The 20,798-nt window shown below is 44.7% G+C and overlaps 1 protein-coding gene across 18 annotated transcripts in view; it reads left to right on the top strand.

Moving 5' to 3' along the window:
- The window catches only part of SYN3 (synapsin III), a 550,562-nt gene extending 530,520 nt beyond the window's left edge, over positions 1–20,042 (top strand). For 14 of the 18 annotated variants that reach the window (NM_001369909.1, NM_001369907.1, NM_001135774.2 and 11 more), the window contains 2 exons: positions 9,528–9,819; positions 14,038–20,042. In NM_001369909.1, coding sequence (NP_001356838.1) covers positions 9,528–9,819; positions 14,038–14,170 — 425 coding nt within the window. In that variant the 3' untranslated portion in view covers positions 14,171–20,042. Of the gene's footprint in view, positions 1–9,527; positions 9,820–14,037 lie in introns of those variants that run through there. The other 4 variants (XM_047441529.1, XM_047441528.1, NM_133633.3 and 1 more) reach the window with 3 other exon arrangements.

Raw genomic sequence — 20,798 nt, 5'->3', positions numbered from 1 at the left:
CCGAGGGATCCACATGTGATTCCCACAAGGGGCTCTGGGAAAATGCACCTGAATACTTTATCCACAGAATGAATGAGACTATGGGGTTGGTCAAACTCTTTAAAAAGTCAAGAAAGGAGAAGGGAAATAGAAGGTTAATTTATTAAGAACCTAATATGCACCAAGCACTGTGCCAGGGAATGTCCCACCTATTTTCTCACTTTTATTTTCCCAGCCGTCCTGCAGTGAAAATGTCATTATTTCCTTTTTTTTTTTTTTCTTTTGAGACAGAGTCTTGCTCTGTCGCCAGGCTGGAGTGCAGTGGTGCGATCTCGGCTCACTGCATCCTCCACCTCCCAGGTTCAAGTGATTCTCCTGCCTCAGCCTCCTGAGTAGCTGGGATTACAGGTGCACACCGCCACGCCCAGCTAATTTTTGTAGTATTAGTAGAGATGGGGTTTCACCATGTTGGCCAGGCTGGTCTCAAATTCCTGACCTCAGGTGATCCGCCCACCTCAGCCTCCCAAAGTGCTGGGATTACAGGCGTGAGCCTTTCTACTGCGAGGTAAAAGTTGAGGCTTTGCCCAAGGAGGCAGAAAATGGTAGATTTACAAGTCTGGCCTTTCAGACCTTTCAAACCTAGGAAGTGTTTATTCATTTCAATGAGTGGTGCCTGATGATAGATTTGTGAGTCGACCAGCTAGAGTAAGAAAGATAGAAAAAGGGAAGATCATCTATAAAACCTTGGCCATTGAAATTCCTCCTCAAATATATTCCAGCATTACTACATTCCACCACTTATTAGAGAATGGACAAACTATTGTAAAAAGATGAAAAGCAATCAGGGCAATGGCTAACTAACTTTCTCAAAGAATATCAGCTGCTCTGATATTCTTGCATGCAGTCTTGAGAGAAATCCGCCCCGTATCCTCTCTTGCAATCAAAACCTCCTGGGCACACTCGCTCTGGCACCAGCATGGAGCTTCAGAGCACCTGTGCACCAAGAAACCAAAGCAGGCAGTCTCGCTGCAATCTTTTAAGGATCTTCTTAAAAACCTATCAGAGGCCGGGCGCGGTAGCTCAGGCCTGTAATCCCAGCACTTTGGGAGGCCGAGGCGGGCGGATCACGAGGTCAGGAGTTCGAGACCAGCCTAGCCAATATGGTGAAACCCCATCAGTACTAAAAATACAAAAAAACTAGCCAGATGTGGTGGTGGTGTGCACCTGTAATCCCAGCTACTCGGGAGGCTGAGGCAGGAGAATCGCTTGAACCCAGGAGGCGGAGGTTGCAGTGAGCCGAGATTGCGCCACTGCACTCCACCCTGGGCGATAGAGGGAGATTCCATCTCAAAAAAACAAAATAAAATAAATAAATTATATATATATATCAGAAAGAAGGCATTACTATCATGTTGTGGCCTTCCCAGTCACTATTATTAAAAGCAACAGATTCATTACTTTGTGAAAAAAAGTCAACCTTGGCCACCAAATGGCTTCCTCTTCCACAGGTCTTAGATAAAATGTCCCATTCATTTTTCTTGTTTGTGTTTCTCCTTCTGGAAAAGCAGGAGATATTTTTAAGAAAAGGGAAATTGTATAATTGTACACAACTGTGTACAGACATACCTCAGAGATATTGCTGGTTCGGTTCAAGACCACCCCAGTATATAGTAAATATCAGAATAAAGGGAGTCACACAAATTTTTTGGTGCATATAAAAGCTATGTTTACACTACACTGTAGTCTCTTAAGTACAATAGCATTATGTCTGAAAAAAACAAAGTACATACCTTAATGATAAAATACTTTATTACTAACAATCGTCTGAGCCCTAGGTGAATAGTAACCTTTCTGCTGATGGAGGGTCTTGCCTCAATACTGATGGCTGCTTACTGATCAGGGTACTGGTTGTTGAAGCAAGGGGTGACTGAGGCAATTTATAAAAATAAGGCAACAGTGAAGTTAGCTGCATGCATTGACTCACCCTTTCACACAAGATTTCTCTGCAGTACGTGATGCTGTGTGATAGCATTTTACCCATAGTAGAACTTCTTTCAAACTTGAAGTCAGTCCTCGCAAAACCTGCTGCTGCTTTATCAACTAAGTTTACGTAATATTCTAAATCCTTTTGTTGTCTTTTCATCAATCTTCATAGCATTTTTTTTTTTTTTTTTGAGACGGAGTCTCCTTGTCGCCCAGGCTGGAGTGCTATGGCGTGATCTCCGCTCACTGCAAACTCCGCTTTCCCGGGTTCATGCCATTCTCCTGCCTCAGCCTCCCGAGTAGCTGGGACTACAGGTGCCCACCAACACTCCCGGCTAATTTTTTGTATATTTTTTAGTAGAGACGGGGTTTCACCGTGTTTGCCAGGCTGGTCTCGATCTCCCGACCTCGTGATCCGCCCGCCTCAGCCTCCCAAAGTGCTGGGATTACAGGCATGAGCCACTGCGCCCGGCCCCTTCATAGCATCTTTATCAGGAGTAGATTACATCTCAAGAAGTCACTTTATTAGCTTATCCATAAGAAGCAGCTCCTCATCAATTCAAGTTTTATCACGAGGCTGCAGTAATTCCATCACATCTTCAGGCTTCACTTCTTATTTTAGTTCTCTTGCTATTTCCACGACATCTTCACTTACTTCCTCCACTGAAGTTTTGAACCCCTCACAGTCATCCATAAGGATGGGAATCAACTTCCAAACTCCTGTTAATGTTGCTATTTTGATCTCCTCCTATGAATCCCAAATATTATTAATGGCATCTAGAAAGGTAAATCATTTCCAGAAGGTTTTCAATTTCCTTTGCCAAGATCCATCAGAGGAATCACTGTCTATGGCAACTATAGCTTTATGAAAAAAATTTTTTTTTTGAGACAGAGTCTCGCTCTATAGCCCAAGCTGGAGTTCAGTGGTGCAATCTCGGCTGACCGCAAGCTCCACCTCGCGGGTCCTGGTTCAAGCAGTTCTCCTGCCTCAGCCTCTCAAGTAGCTGGGATTACAGGCACGCGCCACCATGCCCAGCTAATTTTTGTATTTTTAGTAGAGATGGAGTTTCACCATGTTGTCCAGGCTGGTCTTGAACTCCTTACCTTGTGAGCCACCCGCCTCGGCCTCCCAAAGTGCTGGGATTACAGGCATGAGCCACTGCACCTGGCCAAAATGTATTTTTAAAATAATATGACCTCAGATTTTAAATTACTCCTTGATCCATGAACTAAAAGACGTGATATGTATTAAAAGGCATGAAAACAAAATTATCTTGTACATCTCCATCAGAACTATTGTGTGGATAGATGCATTGTCAATGAGCAGTAATATTTTGAAAAGAATCTTTTTTCTGAACACTAGGTCTCAACAGTAGGCTTAAAATATTCAATGAACCATATTGGAAATACTATGCTGTTATCCAGGCTTTGTTTTTCCATTTACACAGCACAGGCAGAGTAGATTTAGCATCATTCTTAAGGGCCCTAGGATTTCCAGAATGGTTAATGAGCACTGGCTTCAACTCTAAGTCACCGGCTGCACTAGCCCCAACAAGAGAGTCAGCCTATCCTTTGAAGCTTTGAAGCCAGGCATTGACTTCTCCTCTTTAGCTATGAAAGCCCTAGATAGTATCTTCTTCCAATAGAAGGCTGTTCCATCTACACTGAAAATCTGTTGTTTAGCACAGCCACTTTCATCAATAATCTAAGCTAGTTCTTCTGGATAACTTGCTGCAGCTTCTTCGTCAGCACTTGCAGCTTCACCTTGCAGTTTTTGTTATGGAGATGGCTTCTTTCCTGAGACTTCACCCACCAACCTCTGCTAGCTTCCAACTTTTCTTCTTTAGCTTTCTCACCTCTCTCAGCCTTCATAGGATTGAAAGTAGTTAGGGCCTTGCTCTGGATTAGGCTTTGGCTTAAGGCAATGTTGCGTCTGGTTTGATCTTCTTTCCAGACCACTCAAATTTTTCCGTATCAGCAATGAGGCTGTTTTGATTTCTTATCATTTGTGTGTTCACTGGAGTGGCACATTTAATTTCTTTCAAGAACTTTTCCTTCACATTCACAACTTAGCTAACTTTCTGGTGCAAGAGGCCTAATTTTCAGCTTGTCTTGGCTTTCAACATGCCCTCCTCACTAAGCTTAATCATTTCTAGTTTTTTTATTTAAAAGTAAGAGATGTGTGACTTTCCCTTTCACTTGAATATTTAGAGGCCATTATTGGGTTCTTAACTGGTCCAATTTCAATATTGTTGTGTCTAGGGGAAAGGGAGGCCCAAGGACAGGAAGAGAGATAGGGAAATGGCTGGTAAATGGGGCAGCCAGAACACACACATTTATCAAGTAAGTTCACTGTCTTTTTTTGTTTGTTTGTTTGTTTGTTTTTTGAGATGGAGTCTAGCTCTTTTGCCCAGGCTGGAGTACAGTTGCACAATCTCAGCTCACTGCAACCTCTGCCTCCTGGGCTCAAGCGATTCTCCTGCCTCAGCCTCCCGGGTAGCTGGGACTGCAGGTGCATGCCACCACACCCAGCTAATTTTTTTGTATTTTCAGTAGAGAAGGGACGTCACCATGTTGGCCATGATGGTCTCGATCTGCTGACCTTGTGATCCGCCTGCCTTGGCCTCCCAAAGTGCTGGGATTACAGGCATGAGCCACCACGCCCGGCCAGTTCACTGTCTTATATGGGTGTGGTTCATGGCACCCAAAAACAATTATTAATACAATAGTAGTATCAAAGATCACTGATTACGGATCACCATAACAGATATAATAATAATTTAAAAGTTTGAAATTTGTGACAATTGTCAAATGTGAGGCACAGACACCACATGAGTACATGCTGTTGGAAGGACAGCATTGACAGACTTGCTCAATGCAAGGTCGTCACAACCCTCCAATTTAGAAAAAACACAGTATCTGCAAACTGAAATAAAATGGACCACAATAAAACAAGGTATGCCTGTATAAAATACACATTAGTATTCTCCTTCAGGCAGATCTAGTGTGTTTGAATCCAGTTCCGTATCTCACTGCCTTTGCAGTGTTAGGCAAGTCATATTACTTCTCGGGGCCTCAGTTTCCTCAGTGTAAAGGAGGAAATAACAGCTTCCATGTTTAAGGATGGGGTGCTTGTCCATGAGATAAATGCAGGTGAAGCAATTAGCAAGGCATCAGACACAGAGATAGTGCGTAGAAGGTGTCAGTTCTTACTACTAATAATTTACTACGAATAACTATGACATAATGCTTACTATTAATAACGTGTGTCTTATACATATTGCTTTTCATGTTTATTATTAACAATCCTTGTAACTAATGCAGTGCCCCGTTACCCAGCAAGAATTCTATAGTAATAAGTGTTCCGAAACTACATATTCCTCACTCTACCAGGCTCCTGGCTGTGCCTCTGCCCCACACCCTCCTTTCCCCTCTGCCCTGGGACCTGCTTTTTAAAAGCACATTTGAACAGAGCCGTTTTAAAACAGAGAGCTACTGTATTCTGATTTCCTCTCTGGCCCAGAGTAAAACATGCTTGATAAAGAGATATTATTTTAAGGGAAATGAGGCTAAACACACTTTTAGTGAGTTGAAAAACAATCAATTTAAAACCAATTAAGGTAATTAAAGAAAATGCCCAGTGAATTAACGCTCAGATTAAAAATAACAAGGCTAATGAAAAACAACGCTTTCATTGAGTTCCCCAATTAACAAATCACATTATTATTTTGAACTTGCTGTTCATTTCAACTCAGTAAAAGTGAAATTTTCTTTTAATAAGCTTCATGTCTGTGCTTAGGCAAATACTTTCTATATATGTTAATATTTTGTGTATGTGCTCATATGAAAAATACTAAATTGTTTGCTTTGCCAAGAAGCCGAAAGAAATAACTAGGGCAGTGGTAATGGTTAGCACTCTGGTCTCTGAATCCAGTAACTAGGGTGTCTCTCTTGATAAATCCCAGGTATATGATAGGGACTCAACAAAGAGTTACTGAATTAATGAATGGGTATTCACATTTTCTAAGATATCAACCTGGGAAGGGAGGCGAATCAGGGGAAACTGAAGATAAAAGTAGAAAACAAATGTTTTATTTGAACTGCGGTGGGTTTAGAAAACCCAAAAGTAACCAACATTTAAAAATCAGGAGGTGAGCTGGGCGCGGTGACTCACACCTGTAATCCCAGCACTTTGGGAGGCTGAGGTGGGCGAATCACAAGGTCAGGAGTTCGAGACCAGCCTGGCCAATATGGGGAAACCCTGTCTCTACTAAAAATACAAAAAATTAGCTGGGCGTGGTGGCGGACGCCTGTAATCCCAGCTATTTGAGAGGCTGAGGCAGGAGAATCTCTTAACCCAGGAGACAGAGGAGGTTGCAGTGAGCCGAGATCGCGCCACTGCACTCTAGCCCGGATAATAGTGCAAGACTCCGTCTCAAAAAAAAAAAAAAAAAAAATCAAGAGGTGTTGCTTAAACATCTAGATTTCCAGCATCTCTTGATAGCACAGAAGCTCTAGAAACAATGGGCCTGTGTTTCTATACAGCAACTGTCCCTGGCGTTACTAACAGCGGCTTCCTTGATCAGAGCAAGGGCTCCTAGGGGCTCCTGCGTTTGCCTCCAGCCCTACTCCTCACTTCCATAGTGACAGAGAGGGGCAATTGCTATGTTCTTTATGCTTGCACCTCTTCAGAGAAATAGTTCTCTGGACTGTTTTTATCTCAAGTGGGCAAATTTTTGAAAGCCTCATTACTTTTCTTATATTTGCCTGCTTTATTTATTTACATACCTGGTTGGCCCTAGAGGTGTTTGAGATAAATGTGACCTCCCATCTACTCGCCTATACAATCATGAAAGAGGTAATGAATCAAAGCCATGTAATATAATCAGATGCTAAACTGATGCTGCAATTTAATCCAATTTAGTGTTCCACAAGCTCACAAAAATGTTCAGATCGGGAGGGATGTTTGATGTTCAGTCCAATGACCTTATTTTACAAATGAGGGCCCAGAAGCCCAGAGAAGGGGAGTGACTTACCCACGGTCACACAGCGAGTTAATGGCAAGGCTTGAGTCAGGACCTGAGGCTCCTGGTGCCAGTGTGGAGTCAGGGCCACCAGACTCCACAGGTCATGGAGGTTATACAGGTGGCATGTCCTCTGAAAATGTGCTCAGCTGACGTGACATCTGGTAAGGGAGGCTGGCTGAAATCTAGTCCTTGCCCCTTTGGCATCTGGCTCAGAGCTGCTTCAGCTGAAGGAAGCCGCCTTTTCTTAATTAGCAATAAAGATGTTATGAGGACTCAGGCGAGCCTGCGTGGTGTAGTTTTCATAAAGGAAAAAGTAATAAAACAGGGTTTTTGAGTCAAAGAGATCTAGGTTTGAATCTCGGCGTGTCCCCTTATTCGTAGTGACATCTTAAGCAAGTCACAATATATCTGGGTCTCAGTTTCTCTGTAAAAATGGGGCCAAGCACAGTGGCTCACACCTGTAATCCCAGCACTTTGGGAGGCTAAGGTGGGAGAATTGCTTGAGGCCAGGAGTTCAAGACCAGCCTGGGCAACACAGCGACACCCCATCTCTACAAAAAAAAAAAGGCAGAAAGAAAAAGTGGTGTTGGGCCTGTAGTCCCAGCTACTCTAGAGACTGAGGCAGGAGGGTGGCTTCAGCCCAGGGGTTCACTGCTGCGGTGTGACCATGCCACTGCACTCTACCCTGGGTGACAGAGACCCCATCTCTTTAATTAAAAATTATATATATACATACATACCTATATACACGCACACACACACTATTAAAATTATGTTCACCTATTTCTTTTTACTTTTTAAAATGTGCCTACTAGAAAATGTGTAATTATACATGTGGCTCTCTCTAGAGTTCCAGGGACAGCACTCCCATGGCTGGGGGTAGGGGATGAAAATAATGCCTAACCCACAGAGCTGTTGTGCCCAGTCCAAAGCTGGTGACATAATAGGTGCTCAGTAGAAGCCCCATTGTTACAGAGTCACAGAGATGGGTTCCAGCACCTTTTAGTTTTCAGTCTCCTAACGTGCCTACGGTGCTCTCAAAAAAACGTGGCAAGAATAACCCCACTCTCCCAGCAGCAGCATGTCGTAGGGAGAAGAGACCTACGGGCAGCCAGTCGGCTTTGGCAAAATGCAATTCACCATCAACAGCCCTGACACCCAGAATTTGAGGGTTAGGAGAGTGCACCTTGATTGTTGGGGGCCTTGGAATTCTACTCAAAGTCATTTCTGGGTGGCTACAACATCCCCAAGCTTAGATGCCTCTTGGCTTGCTTGTGGAAGCCTGTGTGCCCTGTACGGTGAGAGGGAGAAACCAAGATTCTCTTTGAGCTTTCTGTGGCTCCTCTTCCAACTGGGAAACCTTAATAAGACTCAGTCTCCACCTCTATGTGGTGAGAAGAATGGTATCTTCCCTACTGACCTCTCTAGGTCAAGTGATATGTTGCTTTTGAAAGTTCTTGGAAAAGTTTAGAGAGCAACTCAAAAAGTAAGAGTTAATTCTTGTCGTTGTTTCCAAAGAAATACATCTTCAGTGTGGAAAATACCCGTGAGAAAAAAAAAAAGAGAATTAAAATCCTTCTTAATCTCACCACTTTTGTAATGATTATTTAGTGTCTCATTACTCAACGTAGGATAAGCTGGGAACCCGTTAGAAATGCAGAATCGCAGATCCTGCCTATATTAGTTTTCTCAGGCTGCCTTGATAACAAAATGCCATAGACTGGGGGGGCCTTAAACAACAGATGTTTTTTTCACAGTTCTGGAGGCTGCAGGTACAAGATCAAGGTGCTAGCAGGGTTGGTTTCTGGTACAGCTTCTCTCCTTGGCCTGCAGATGGCAGCCTTCTTTGTGTATCCTCGTGTGTCCTTTCTTCTGTACCTGGGTACATGACACTCCTGATATTTCTTTCTCCTCTTATAAGGACACCAGGCCTATCAGATTAGGGCCCCACCGTATCACCTCATTTAACTTTAATTACCTCTTTAAAGATCCTATCTCCAAATAGAATTGCATTGAGGGTTAGGGTTAAGGTTTCAACATATGAATTGGGACAGGGTGAACACAATTCAGTCCGTAACGCAGCCCGAGACTCACTCTATCAGAATCTTTATTTTGACCAGATCCCCAGTGATTCATATGCACATTAAAGTCTGAGGCACACTGGTTTTAGTGTACAGTCTTCCAGTCTTGCTTTTTTATATATGTTTTTACATATGTGCCAAAATAAAACCATAAGTACTGTATTCTAAGCTATTTTGTTCAGCAGTATAATATTTAGCATATGTTATCAACAGTATCCTGTGTCATTTAGTATTACTCAGCCACATCCTATGTGATGACCACAGCATATTCCATTATACAGATGTATCTTAATGTTCCTAATTACTTCCTTATGGTTAGGTATTTATACGGTTTTCAGTTTTTCACCATTATAAGAAACACTGTAATGAACATCCTTGAAGCAACATTATTTGTGTACAGCCATATCTATCCTAAGAAAAAAAATTGAACTGAACCTTTTTTTTTCTGGCCCCTTAGGAGGCCCTCGCCAAGCTCAGTCTCCTCAGCCCCAGAGATCTGGAAGCCCCTCCCAACAGAGGCTCTCCCCACAAGGCCAGCAGCCCCTGAGCCCCCAGTCCGGATCTCCACAGCAGCAAAGGTCACCAGGCTCTCCGCAGCTATCCCGGGCATCCAGTGGCAGCTCCCCAAACCAGGCCTCCAAGCCAGGTGCCACCCTCGCCTCACAGCCCCGGCCCCCTGTGCAGGGCCGTAGTACCTCCCAGCAGGGTGAAGAGTCCAAGAAGCCAGCACCACCCCATCCGCATCTCAAGTAAGTGCTTTGGGAATTGGAAAAGGTATAGGATAGAGCTGGGGTGTAGGCAGAGCTTGGCTGATTCAGGGTTAGGGACTTGGAGACAAAGGAAGACCCAACGAGGCCTTGCCTAGACTTCAAATAGGTAAAAACAGGACTAGAGGACAGAATTTGCTGGGGAGGCCCAACAAGGTGAGAGTATAGATTAGACACCACCGTGACCCTCCGTGTATACACATACCAGCCATTTACCAGCTATTGTTTGCTGCATAACAAACAACCCCAAAACTTAGTGGCTGAAGAAAACAATCATTCTCTTTGTTCATAATTTTTTGGTTCAGCTGTTTGTTCTGAGTTTAGCTCAGCTGGGAGGTTCTTCTGCTGGTGTCTCCTATAGAGTTACAGAATAAAACATAGGATACCCAGTTAGATTCACATTTCAGATAAAAAACAGATAATTGTGAGTATAATTATGCCCCAAACATTGCATGGAATATACTTACACTAAAAAAAAAGTCTTAGCTTTTTATCTGAAATGCACATTTATCTACACATTTTTATTCGCTAAATCTGGCAACTCTACTTTCCTGGGATCACTCATACGACTGCAGTCATCTGGCAGCTTCACTGAGGCTGGATGGTCCAAGAAGGCCTCACACACACATCTGGTTGTTGGTGCTAGCTGTCAGCTGGGCCTCTTTCTCTCCATGGGGTCTCATCCTCCCCAAGGCTAAGCCGAGCTTTCTTACATGGTAGAACTGCTTTTAAAAAGGGAGAAAGTACAAGCTGCAAGGCCTCTTGAGGCCCAGCCTTGGGAGTTATGAAATGTTATTTTATCACACGCTTTTAGTCAAAGCAAGTCACAGGGCCAAACCCACATTCAAGAGGTAGGAAATAAATTTTTGGTAGGAGGAGCCATGAAGTCACATCTCAAAAGGGCAGGCTACAGGGACAAGAGGAATCATTGCAGTCATTTTTGTAAGCCATCCATCACAATACACATATACATCCTGTTTCCTCTCAGGCCCATCTCTTGGTTTGTCCTAAAGAGAGGTCCCAAGTAACTGATCTTTGGAAAGCTCTACCTTCTTTCAAGGCCAAATGTTGATCATCACAGTTCACAGCTAACAGCTATTGTCCACTTACTATGTGCCAAGCACTTTACTTACTTGGGTTTTTTTTAAGTTCTCACAAGCTTAGGAGTTAATAACTATTTCTTATCCCCATTGTACAGACGAGTAAGCAAAGAAAAGATTAAATAACTTGCCAAAGTTTCCAGTTAATAACTAGAAGAGCTGGGATTAGACCCACGACATCCAGTCCAGGGATCATGCTAACAACTATTTTTTTGAATAGGTAATATATTCACATAGTTCAAAGATCTAAAAGGTATCAGGCCAGGTGTGGTGGCTCATGCCTGTAATCCCAACACTTTGGGAGGCCAAGGTGGGTGGATCCCACCTGAGGTCAGGGGTTTGAGACCAGCCTGGCCAACATGGTGAAACCCCATCTCTACTAAAAATACAAAAATTAGCTGGGCGTGCTGGTGCACGCCTGTAGTCCCAGCTACTCAGGAGGCTGAGGCAGGAGAATCGCTTGAACCTGAGAGGCTGAGGTTGCAGTGAGCTGAGATGGCGCCATTGCACTCCAGCCTGGGCAACAAAGTGAGACTCCATCTCAATAAATAAATAAATAAATAAATAAATAAATAAATCAAAGATGTATGTTGAAAAGCCTCGTTCCCGCCCCATTCTCATCCAACGCTTTGCTACCCCCATCCCCAGAAATGACTTTTGTTAGTTCCTATGTGTCCTTTCAGTGCTTCCTTATGCAAATAAAAAATATTTGCATAAATAAATAATAAAATTGTTCAGATCCTCGCCCTCATTTTCTCACACACACAGGAGTATTCACTATCAACACCATTCTGCTCACTGCTTTTCATGTTTAATAATAAATCCTGGGCTGGATGCGATGGCTCATGCCTGTAATCCCAACACTTTGGGAGGTGGAGGGGGGCGGATCACAAGGTCAGGAGATCGAGACCATCCTGGCTAACACAGTGAAACCCCATCTCTCCTAAAAATACAAAAAATTAGCCAGGCGCGGCAGCGTGCGCCTGTAGTCCCAGCTGCTAGGGAGGCTGAGGCAGGAGAATGGCGTGAACCCAGGAGGCGGAGCTTGCAGTGAGCTGAGATCGTGCCACTGCACTCCAGCCTGGGTGACAGAGCAAGACTCCATCTCGAAAAAAAAAAAAATCCTGGAGCACCGAGTTTCTTCGAATTTTATTTTTTATGGCTGTATAGTATTCCGCTGTACCATTGTACTATAATTTATCTAACTAATCCATCACAAATAGAAACTTGGTTTGATCTTACAAATAATGCTGCAATTAATAAATCTGAACATATACTTTCATAGTTGCAAGACTCACTCTAGAGAAAATAACCTGACATGATATTGTTAGATCAAAGGATAAATGTATTTTTAGTTTGACAGACACTAGCAAATGGCCCTCCTGGCAATATGGAATAGCAGTTGACAGCACAGACTCTAGAGTCAGACTGCCTGGGTTCAAATCCTAGCTCCACCACTTAAAAACTACACAACCTCAGATAAGTTGCCTAACCTCGCTGTGCTTCAATTTCCTCACATGTGGAATGGGGACAATAACCGCACAGGGTTATTATAAGGATTGCAATGAGTTTATGCACAGTTGGTGCTTAGAATGCTGCTGCCACTACAGAGGCTTATCTGCATACAGCCTGTCACCACATAAGGAGATCAGCCAACTAATCACAGGACAGACAGGGGCTCTGGGCCTTAAACCAGGTTTGGTCACTGACCTTACAGTGTTCTAGCTAAAAACACATAAATTTCCTGACTTACTGCTTTAAAGAACTTGGTTCAATTCAAGTCAGCAGGTATTTACTGAATTTACCTACTCTGTGCCTTGTTCTAGATAAGACTCTCTGAGGGGTAATAAGCAAGGAGTAAAAGACAGTCCCTGCGTTGAAGTCCCCAGTTTTTGTTTTGTTTTTTTTTTTGAGATGGAGTCTCACTGTCGCCCAGGCTAGAGTGCAGTGGCGCCATCTCGGCTCACTGCAAGCTCCGCCTCAAGGATTCATGCCATTCTCCTGCCTCAGCCTCCCGCGTAGCTGGGACTACAGGCGCACGCCACCTCACCCGGCTAATTTTTTGTATTTTTAGTAGAGACGGGGTTTCACCGTGTTAGCCAGGATGGTCTCGATCTCCTGACCTTGTGGTCCGCCTGCCTCGGCCTCCCAAAGTGCTGGGATTACAGGCGTGAGCCACTGCGCCCAGCACAGTGTGGTGCAGTTTTTAATGTGATGACAGCATCACATGCAGAGCTCTTCAACTTTTGACACATTTACATAATCTCTTCCTAGGTCTGTTGCCTCCCCTCCTATGACTGAGCCTCCTGAGGCAGGGCCTGAATCATATTCGTCTTACACCCCTGTCCCCTAGCACAGGGGAAGTGCTCAGCAAGCAGTTGCTACAGGCTGGCATTTAGGAAGCACTCAGAATGGCATCTGCCATTCAAAAAGATGGCACTAAAAGAATTCCAAAAGCGGGTGGGGGACAGAATTAGCCATAAAGACATTGGAGAAGAGATGGGAATTGAAGTCCAGAATGTCAGAGCTGGAAGAGGCCTGAGGGTCAGCAGGACAAACCCTTCGCTCTACAGATGAGGCAAAGGAAGCCCTGAGAAGGTAAGTTCCTTGCCCAAGGCTACACACATCAAAGAGCAGAGAAGGTTCTAGAATACAGGCCTCCTGATACCTAAACGAGTGCTGGAAATAACTATAACCTGATGTTGATACAGCACATTGCAGTTTACAAAGTGGGTTTGTACCCATAGGCAGGAGAGCAGCCAAGCTACTCTCCAGCAATGCCTGCTGCCTCAACAGTCTGGTATAATGGAAAGAATGTGGCCTCTGGGTGCTCCCCCATTACTTGCTGTGAGGACCGGAGCAAGTTACTTGACTCTGTGAACCCCTATTTCTGAACCTAAGAAATGGGGAAAATAACCACCTTGCAAATTATGTGTGTAATGTACCTGACATCATGTAAGCATTGGAATGCCTGGTTTCTGGTCTTCATAACCTTATGATGATTGGGGTAGCCCATCTGGCTTACAGGCAAGCCCCCAAGACCCATTTCTTTGATAGTCTTCGCCTTGTCTTCCTCAACCCCCTTGCCTTTCTGTTTCAGCAAATCTCAGTCCCTGACTAACAGCCTCAGCACATCCGACACCTCCCAGCGTGGGACCCCAAGTGAAGACGAGGCCAAGGCTGAAACCATCCGCAACCTGAGGAAGTCTTTTGCCAGCCTGTTCTCTGACTAACGCCATCCAGGCTGGGAGGGGAAGAGTGCTCTGCTACACTCGTCCCCCTCCTGCCTCATCTTCCTTCTCAGCCTTGGTTCCTGATGGGAACAGAATGGAGGGCCTGAGAACATACTTTCTAAATGCCTTTGACCCAGGAACCGATTATCTATATTTGTTCCCATTTTCCTTCACCGTGACATTCCAGCATTGTCTGACTGTGAGGTGGGCCTTTGAGAGCCTCCAGGTTCCTCAAAACAGGCCTGAGCGATGGGCATCACACCCTCTGCCTACCCACGTGCCTGCTTACCTGCCAGATAACCAAGTGAGATGTCTGCGAGTGGCTAGTTTTCACATTCTTACTAGTGTTTGGCTCACCTTTGGGCAAAGGCCCCCTCTAGGCCTTGCCCCACCTCCATCAAACGCAGACACTGTAGTCAGACCTCAGCAATATAGGAGGCAATAATCTTTTAACAGTGTTTTGCAAACAAACAAAAAGAGAAAAATCCCAGCCAGGGGAACTCGCCACCTGCCCACGCTAGTTCCATCCACGCTCAAGACCCGCCCTTAGACCAGGCAGGCAAAGGCCCCCATCACACTCGGCCACTAGTGGGGTCCTGAGGCCAAGAAAGAAACCAGACCCTGTATGACAAGTGGGGTCTTTCAGAACACGACAGAAACAGGGGGGCCCTTGTAATGCCACTCATACTCAGAGCATTATTCTTATTTGGACAGCCAAGGGCAGATCACAGGTTATTGTAGGAATAAAGACTAGTTTACAAAGGAGAAAGAGGCCCTGGACTTCCCAAGGAAAGGGTCAGGTTAGGGCTCCTGTACCCATTCTGTTCCACCACTGTTTGATCTCTCTGGCCTCCCACCAGGAATGCCGTTTCCTTTTTATGGATCTGTTGGGAACCAGAGAGAATCAACAGATCAATGACATAGGATCCGAAGTGCAATGATAGTCACTTCTAGTTTGGCATTTCACAAACTCTGTACAGCAAGGTATTGGTAGGTTACTCAATTTCAAAAGGGCCCCATGGCCAAATATGTTTAGGAACCGCTGTTTGTATTTCTTTTTTTGGAGACGCATTGTATATAATATATGTCAAAGGCTTTCGGAATTCCTGCAGGAAAGAAATCAGCTTTGTTAAATCCAAACTGATGATTTGACTCAATAAGTTAGTTGCAGAGCTGGAAAAAGTAGTCTAACTCCCTTCCCAGTGCTCTTTCCCCTATACCAGTCTGCCTCTCATGCTTAGACAGCGTTCAGCGGTGATCCAAATCACCAAGCACCTGGTGCTGGAAACATTGTAGGTGCCAGAAGCAGCCTCCTGGTCCCAAAGAGAGCCCAAGATATTAGAACATAGCCATGTTAGCCCCTTGCCTCCCACTTCGCAACATGAGACATGTCTTCCTTTTGCTGTCCACAGGGAAGGGAGAGAGGGAGGTAAAAATGGAAGTGGCTTTGGCCTGGAGCAGCTTCTAGTTATGCCCAAGCAATGTAGATTGTTTGGTAATCAGCCAAGATCCATCCAGGTTCCCAGGAGCATAAAAGCAATCATCTCCTTTTTGGTCCTTCAAAACCAAACTGGAGTGGTGACGTCAGGGCCAGAGACCCTCTCCTTCTGTGGGCATTGGATCACTTAGAACTCTCAACCTCAGAAAAGCCTGCCTTCAAGCTGGCTTTTGACGGGCTATTGGCTGGAGACTGGGTCAGTATTGAAAGTGCTAGCTGTGCACCTGGCTGCCAGAAAGCCACTTGGCCTTTAGGACAGTCCTCTTCACATTGCCCTCTTCCCTCACTCATGATCAGGTCTGGATTTAAGAGCAAGAGACCCCAGGATAATTCAGAAGTCCTCTCTCTCCTCCTGTTCAAGACTCTTGGTCTGGGATTCAATAATAAGTAGCAGACCTGACATAAGAAAGATCAGATAGGTCCAATTGCCAGTGACTATTGGGAGCCATAATTTGGCAGCTGGAGACTGGTAGGCTCAGGCCTGATTAACACTGGCTAGGATCAGCAGCAAATAAAATAGCCATTGTGTGAGGTGAGAGGTGAAGAGGTGAAGGCCTGGTACTCTTTCTAGCGCCCAAAAAGCCCACCACCCTTACTCTGTCTCCATGCTCGGCTGAGTTCCATGTTATAGGACAGTCCCTGCATGTCTGGCATGTCTGGAGCTCACTCTGCCCAGTAACACATCTCCCTTCTTTTTGCTCAGCCTGTGCAATGCAACAGAACTAGTCTGGCCAGGAGCTGGCAGAATCCTATCCAGAGGCAGCTGAGATGATGCAGTGGGCAGTCAGACACATGAAGCTGCTGCTTTGCAGGCATCATTGTCGACACATTCTTCTAGACCCCCAAGGTGGGTGGAGGTGGGGGTCCTGGGGTCAATATCCCACAGTCATGCTTGGGGGAGGTCAGGTGATGGCAAGGAATAGATCAGACCATTTATAATCCGGTAGAACTTTGCTTCATCCTCCTGCTGCTGCTCACTTAATTCTTTCACCACTCCCTTGGAATTTCTGAAGAAAGCCAAGTGGGGCATAGGGAAAAGAGACGGGAGGTGAAATTCAAAATATCAGATGTGGGTACCTTTTAAAGTTATTCTGTTAAAAGAAATCTAACAGAAGAGAGTATAAATATTGATTAACATAAGGTTTGATGATTAGCCAGTGATTCTAGGAGTCCCCTTACACACACACACACACACACACACACACACACGCCTGGACAATAACTTGGAATTGACAAATGCACATCCTAAAATCCTGTCACCTCGCTATGAGTTCATAGTTCTCTGATAACCGGCTTCAAGAGGAGAATGGCTTCCCCACTTGCCCCCAAGAAGATAGGGATCACTAGTATAAGTCACACGATGAAAGAACCAGAATACCAGCCTCTCAGACTGGAAGGTTCCTGGGCCCTTCCCCCTTCTTTCCTGACAAGGGCAGGTGAGGTTCCCCCATTAGAAGGATCTGGGGCACTGCTTATAAGAGCAGCCTGTTACAAGATTCAAGCACAGAGAGCTATAGGAGTTGAAGTTTGGTTTCTTCCACTTAAAAAAATATATATCCACCCTCCTTACTCAGGGGTAGACCTTTCAAATATTAATAAATAATGCTGTGTGACATCCTGAATAAACGGGTAAGAGAAAACTTGTAGGGCAGGGTGTAACCATGAGGTCCTCAAGTTTCAGGAGATTAAGAACACAGGAAACCCCTGTGGCAATCGTCCCTCTTCAACAATCTCACCCAGTTTTCACTTAGTAATAAAAGACAGCTCAAAACATACAACTGAATGGTAATAGGCTGGACAAAGTTTCTCAACCTGTGGGCCACGGCCATGGGCAGAGCTAGTTACAAAGGCAGATGAAGCTTCATGTCGGACTAAAGGAGTCCGAATTTCTGGTCACAGGACCCAGAACCTGCATCTTTGTCAATCTCCCCACTTTGAATGCACTTTGATGTGAGACCAGCAAACCTGAGCTGGGCTCTGTGGGAAAGCCACTGCATGAGAAACAGTACTGCTACGGGTGTGCTGCAGTCTCCAACGCAGCTACGAACCCACTCCTTTAGTGAGTGAAACTAGTGGCCCCGTGAACAATGACCACATGGCCTAAATTCTCCCATATTCCTATATTCTGTCCTTTGGCCTCAGACACACCTCAGCATCCAAAGGATATCTCCCAGATACTCCAGTATCTGTGTACAACAGCCGCAGAACCTCCTTCCAAGCTCCAAATCAGGCCAGGCATCCTGATTTTTATAACCATACTCATATATCCAGATCCATGACATAACACTAGTTTATAGCCAACACATTTAAATAATTTCCCCACTGGGGCCAGGCGCAGTGGCTCACATCAGTAATCCCAGCACTTTGGGAGGCCGAGGTGGGCGGATGACTAGGTCAGGAGATCGAGACCATCCTGGCTAACACGGTGAAACCCCATCTCTACTAAAAATATAAAAAATTAGCCGGGCGTGGTAGCGGGCGCCTGTAGTCCCAGCTACTAGGGAGGCTGAGGCAGGAGAATGGCGTGAACCCGGGAGGCGGAGCTTGCAGTGAGCCGAGATCGCACCACTGCACTCCAGCCTGGGCAACAGAGTGAGACTCTGTCTCAAAATAATAATAATAATAATAATAATACTTTCCCCATTGGTCTGTGTATGAACATAGGAACCAAGGACACATAGGTCTCATGGCGACCCTAAAATAGTCTGTTCTGTCACATAGACTAGTACCTGTTCCTTCCAAACATGTAACCTTTAATAATTGTGACATTTTGAAATGGGAAAGGGCAAAAAGGAGGGAGAGGGGAGTCATGCTGTATAGACTCTAAAATGTTATGTTTGTTGTTTTTCTTGCTTTGTTTCACAACTTTGAGCCAGAGAGAGGCTAGCATTTTCCCTCCAAGCTGACTCGGGGAAGCTGAAACACAACAAAGACCTATTTGATTTGTTCACAATGAACAGGGATTTAAAAACGCAGCCTTAGCGGACAGCTCTACCAGCCACAGAAAAGTTCTTCCAGATCTTCCTCCCGTCAGCGCGATAAAATGGTACCGTACTTTGGTTAAATGTAAAATCAGCTTTCCAGGAACAGTGGCATATCCTTTCTCTTCCATCAGTTCCCTAGATTCTCTTCATTACTACATTCTCTAGCCTAACATTCCGTCCCTGCTGAATTAACTAATATTCAGATACATTCAAGATAGAACTAACACTCAATTCTATCTTTCCAAAATTTAAGGGGATGATAGGTCTTCACTCACATGGTAACAAACACAGCAGCAAACCCCATAAAACTGAACATCAACTGCCTTCTGGAAGTTCTCATCTGGCAAGCTAGTGCAGGTATCTTGTGCATGGGTCAAGAGAGTGAAGCTCAGAGCACATTGCTTGGCACCCAGCAGGTGTTCAGGACATGTTTTAGCTCAGCCCTCCTAGAAAACTATGAAATAAAATCCAAACAAAAGTATTAAGATTGAAGTAAAAAGATGTTTTTCTAAGAGTATCAATATATGGAAGTCACTTGCCCAGGAACAGAATCAAACAAACCAAAACCCAGTAAAATGAGATAGAGAAAAGAAGCGGAAGAAGATCAATGGCAGGTTTTCAACCTCAAAAAGACCTCTTCCAAACTGAATCTGAAGAGGAATGGGAGGAGGCAGAATGAGAACATGAGACCTCTCCTTGGGGCCCCTTTCATGCGCGTCTGTGTGAAGAGACCACTAAACAGGCTTTGTGTGAGCAACATGGCTGTTTATTTCACCTGGGTGCAGGCCGGATGAGTCCGAAAAGAGAGTCAGCAAAGGGAGTAGGGATGGGGCCGTTTTATAGGATTTGGGAAGGTAATGGAAAATTACATGCAAAGGGGGTTGTTCTCTGGTGGGCAGGGGCGGGGGTCACAAGGTGCTCAGTGCGGGAGCTTCTGAGCCAGAAGAAGGAAATTTACAGGGTTAATCACTCAGTTAAGGTGGGGCAGGAACAAATCACAATGGTGGAATGTCATCAGTTAAGGCGGGGCAGGGCCTTTTCACTTCTTTTGTGATTCTTCAGTTACTTCAGGCCATCTGGGCGTATACGCGCAAGTCACAGGGGATGCGATGGCTTGGCTTGGGCTCAGAGGCCTGACATTCCTGCCTTCTTATATTAATAAGAAAAATAAAACAAAATAGTGTTGAAGTGTTGGGGCGACGAAAATTTTTGGGGGGTGGTATGGAGAGAGAATGGGCGATGTTTCTCAGGGCTGCTTCGAGTGGGATTAGGGGCGGCGTGGGAACCTAGAGTGGGAGAGATTAAGCTGAAGGGAGGTCTCGTGGTAAGGGGTGATATTGTGGGGATGTTAGAAGAAACATTTGTTGTGTAGAATGATTGGTGACGGCCTGGATATGGTTTTGTATGAATTGAAAAACTAAATGGAATAAGAAGGAGAAAAACAGGTATAAAAGGTCTAAGAATTGGGAGGACCTAGGACATCTGATTAGAGAGTGCCTAAGGAGATTCAGCATAGTCCTGCCAGCAAAGATTATTTATTTACTTCAAGAGTTAAAAGTGGCAGTTTGGGGATAGCACGAGGAGATATCAGCTGTGATGGCTTGGAGAAACAGTGTAAACTGGCAGTGTAAACAAGAGCAGGGCATGTATGAGTAGTTGAGAACGGAGAATAGGAGTATGACTAGACAGAAGATAGTAGGGATGACAAGTTTTTTTTGGGGGCACAGTCTAAGTTGGTCTGGTGTCTGGAATGAGACTGGGGCCTAATAAAAAGGAGCATCTATACAGGAGCTTAAATGGGCTGTACCTTGTAGCATTCTGAGGACAGGCCTGAATTCTGAGAAGCGAAAGTGGTAAAAGTATTGTCCAGTCCTTTTTAAGTTGGTGGCTGAGCTTGGTGAGGTGTGTTTTTAAAAGACCTTTAGTCCGTTCTACTTTTCTTGAAGATAGAGGACCGTAAGGGATATAAAGGTTTCACTGAATACTAAGAGCCTGAAAAACTAATTGGCTGATTTGACTAATAAAGGCTGGTCTGCTATCAGACTGTATAGAGGTGGGAAGGCTAAACTGAGGAATTATGTCTGACAGAAGGGAAGAAATGACTGTGGTGGCCTTCTCAGACCCTGTAGGAAACGCCTTTACTTAT

Source organism: Homo sapiens, chromosome 22, assembly GCF_000001405.40.
Source record: "Homo sapiens chromosome 22, GRCh38.p14 Primary Assembly".
NCBI classification, from domain to species: Eukaryota; Metazoa; Chordata; class Mammalia; order Primates; family Hominidae; genus Homo; species Homo sapiens.
The sequence above is the reverse complement of the archived record's forward strand: the minus strand, read 5'-3'. Positions and strand labels throughout refer to the sequence as shown.